The sequence below is a fragment of the Homo sapiens genome, chromosome 2 (assembly GCF_000001405.40).
Source record: "Homo sapiens chromosome 2, GRCh38.p14 Primary Assembly".
Classification (NCBI taxonomy): Eukaryota; Metazoa; Chordata; class Mammalia; order Primates; family Hominidae; genus Homo; species Homo sapiens.
Window position 1 is genome coordinate 104,532,493 of NC_000002.12, and position 3,681 is coordinate 104,536,173.

The 3,681-nt window shown below is 38.9% G+C and overlaps 1 non-coding gene across 1 annotated transcript; it reads left to right on the forward strand.

Moving 5' to 3' along the window:
* Positions 1-280: 280 nt before the first annotated feature.
* On the forward strand, positions 281-493 carry LOC124906193 (small nucleolar RNA U3). Its single transcript, XR_007088771.1, has one exon. It is a non-coding gene; the product is annotated as a small nucleolar RNA U3 (small nucleolar RNA).
* Positions 494-3,681: the final 3,188 nt, after the last annotated feature.

Sequence of the window (3,681 nt, forward strand, 5' to 3'; positions counted from 1 at the left end):
CAAGGTATACTGCTCTAAATCCTACTGTAAGGCTTCCTCATCAAGTTACCTACCTTCTAATTGAGTCTCCTCATCGGCTGAAATGTTTACTCACATGGAGTTAATGACAGTGTCTGCATTAGAGGATTTAGTCAAGATCAAATTAGATATTGCAATGGAGTGCTGAGGACAACAGCTGGCATGCTTAAAATGCTTGCTAAATGTGTACAAGTGCACAAGTTCTGTTTTATTAATAAAAACCAACACCTATGTCACTCTCTTGTTTCCAATTATGTAATGTAAGACTATTCTTCTAGGGATCTTTTCTATAGTTCAGTACCAGAGATGGTTCTCTGACAGTGTGGAGCACCAGAAACCATGAGAAGGAGGCACAGCAATCTCTCCTGAGCATGGAGCCTGCTCTTGGTGTTGTTTTGCTGCAGCTGCTGTTTGCCATTGATGATCGTTCTCTTCTTTCAGGAGAGTAAGAAGGCGAGGATGCAGTCTGAGTGGTTTCCATTAGGACTTTGAAAAAAAATCATGTAATAGTTCCTCATTGAATATAGCCATTGTTCCCAACATGTTAGATGCTAAGAAACCCTTTGTCACATAACAAATTTCAAGCAGCTGTAAATGCTCTAAATACCTATGTGAGACTTCAGCAATATGGTAGACCCAGCTAATGTAGAGAAGTCCACCTCTTGATATGAATGTATAAATATGTTGAAAACAGGTAACGATGCACAAACGAATTCAAAAGACTGAAGGAACCCTCCCAGTACTAGAATCTCAAAGCTCATGCAAAGCTAGAGCAGATGCCACCACTGCTCACAGGAGTATCTTCCTTGATACAGACCCTAGGGCTTACGGTGTGACTGTAACAACCACACTGGAACAGGTGAGAAAACCTCTCACCTGAACTAGGTGGAGAGCTGGAATAGCTTTTTTTGTTTTTTTTTTGTTTGTTTGTTTTTTTAGGGAGAGTTTCACTCTTGTTGCCCAGACTGGTCCGTCCTTCCTTCCTTCCTTCTTTCCTTCCTTCCTTCCTTCCTTCCTTTCTTTTTGATGGAGTTTTGCTCTTGTCACCAGGCTGGAGTGATCCCGGGTCACTGCAACTTCGGCCACCCAGGTTCAAGTGATTCTCCTGCCTCAGCCTCCCAAGTAGCTGTGATTACAGGCATGCACCACCACACCTGGCTAACTCTTTGTATTTAGTAGAGATGGGGTTTCACCATGTTGGTCAGGCTGGTCTCAAACTCCTGACCTCAGGTGGTCCACCCACCTCACCCTCCCAAAGTGCTGGGATTACAGGTGTGTGCCACTACACCCAGCCCTGGAATAGCTATTTTTATAAAGCCAAGACTGTCTAGGTCACACAAAGAGAAATTAGCTCCACTCGCCAACCTGGGGAAACAGCAGTGTAACTTTCTCCCTGCTGATAGCTATAAAGGAGAAAAAGGTCTCCTGCAAGAAATCAAAACACCAACTTTGTGCCATGAGTGCATGGGAAGATCAAATTTATATTATCATCCAGGTGTATGGGAGCCTTAAATGGGATTTTATCTGTAATATGAAATCTCAATAAATCTAAAAAAAAAAAAGTAAAGTTGCTTTGTAGAGACAACTATGCAACTGGGGTGGTGGCATATGACTCCTCCCACACTAAATAACCCACCAGATACAAATCATAACTAAAGAACAAGAAATATGCAAAAAAGCTGGGCACTTATAATAACAAATAAAATCGTGGTCATTAATATGTTTAAAAACAGTGGATAGGTTAAACAGCAGATTAGATAAAGCTGACAAAAGACTCAATAAACTGGAAAACAATTCTGAGAAAAGTCCCTCAAAATGCAGTACAAATAAATAAAAAATGTAAAGTGTCAAAAGAGTTAAGCAACAGAAATAATGTCCTATATTCATCTAATAAGAAATCCACCAAGAAGAATATTTGAAGAAAAAATAATTGATAATTTTGCAGAGCTGAAAAAAATCAGATTAGAGAAGCACCCTGATTCCCAAACAAGTAAAAATAAATTTATACCTAAACCCATCAAAATAAAATTAGAAAACATAAAAACAAAGAAAATATCTTAAAGATAATTAGAAAAAAATTAAGATTGCTCACAAAGGAAGCGCATGGTGCTGACTGCAGGCAACTCTTCATCTATCAGAAAGGCCAGAAAAAAGTAGAACTTTTTAACCTACAGGCACTTAAACTGTTATTTACAAGTAAAAGAAAAATAAAGATGAGTTTAGAGAGTATAGCATTGATAGACTGTTAGTCAAGAAATACTAAAAAAAGATGTTGAACAGAAACTGAATAGGCTGGACACAGTGGTTCATGCCTTTAATCCCAGCACTTTGTGAGGTCAAGGTGGGTGGATCACCTGAGGTCACAAGTTCTAGACCAGCCTGGCCAACATGGTGAAACCCTGTCTCTACTAAAAATACAAAAAATTAGCTGGGCGTGGTGGCACACACCTGTAATCCCAGCTACTTAGGAAGCTGAGGCAGGAGAATCGCTTAGGCCTGGGAGGCAGAGGTTGCAGTCACCCGGGATTACGCCACTGCACTCCAGCCTGGGTAACAACAGCAAAATTCCATTGAAAGAAAGAAAAAGAAAGAAAGAAGTAAAGAGAAAGAAAGAAAGAAAGAAAGAGAAAGAAAGAAACTAAATACAGAAGAATGAAAAGTGAATTGCAAGAGACTGATGATTTTGACAACTTATAAATATAAATGAATCTAAACTGACTTATTAAGAAAAATTAAAAGTATACCTAAACTTGGAAAGCTTAAAAACAAGGACTCAAAATCCCATTCAACAATAGCATAGAAAAAAAAAGAGGGGATGATAAGAGCTAAAGGATTTAGTTCCTCTTGGAAAGAGTAGAAATGCTGATAAGCTTAGACTCTTCACATCAAAAGTGCTCGTTCAAGTGTAAGGGTATTGGCCAGGTGTGGTGGCTCACACCTGTAACCCCAGCACTTTGGGATACCGAGGCAGGCAGATCACCTGAGGTCAGGAGTTCAAGACCAGCCTGGCAAACATGGCGAAACCCCATCTCCACTAAAAGTACAAAAAAAATTAGCTGGGCGTGGGCGCCTGTAATCCCAGCTACTCAGGAGGCTGAGGCAGGAGAATCACTTGAACCCAGGAGGCAGAGGCTGCAGTGAGCCGAGATCGAGCTCTCCAGCCTAGGCAACAGAGTGAGACTCCATGTCAATAATAATAATAATAATAATAATAATAATAATAATAATAATATAATAAGGGCATTGCAGAACCAGGATTTTGGGGACCTGAGTCCTATATAATCTGGGGAACTTACATTATTTTCTCTTAAGAATTAAAAACTAATTTAAATTTTTCAAATTTTACAGAAACATCTGAGCCACATTGCTATGGCTTCGAGGAGGACCGTGCATGTTAGGGGCCAGAAGGCTATACTTCCTTAGCTAAATCTAGCTGTAGTGCAAGTTTTAGAAACATCAAAATAAAATGCTTAAATCACATTCCAATCCAAGAAGGAGGTGAGAGGATAAAAATAAAGAAATGCCATCAAACTAATAAAATCAAAAAAAAGAAAAGAAAAAATAAGCAACGTCACTGAAAATTGAAAACATAAAATAACATAGTATAAAATTTCCAAATAAACCAGTAATTACAATAAAAAATTAATGAGCTAAATGTTCAAC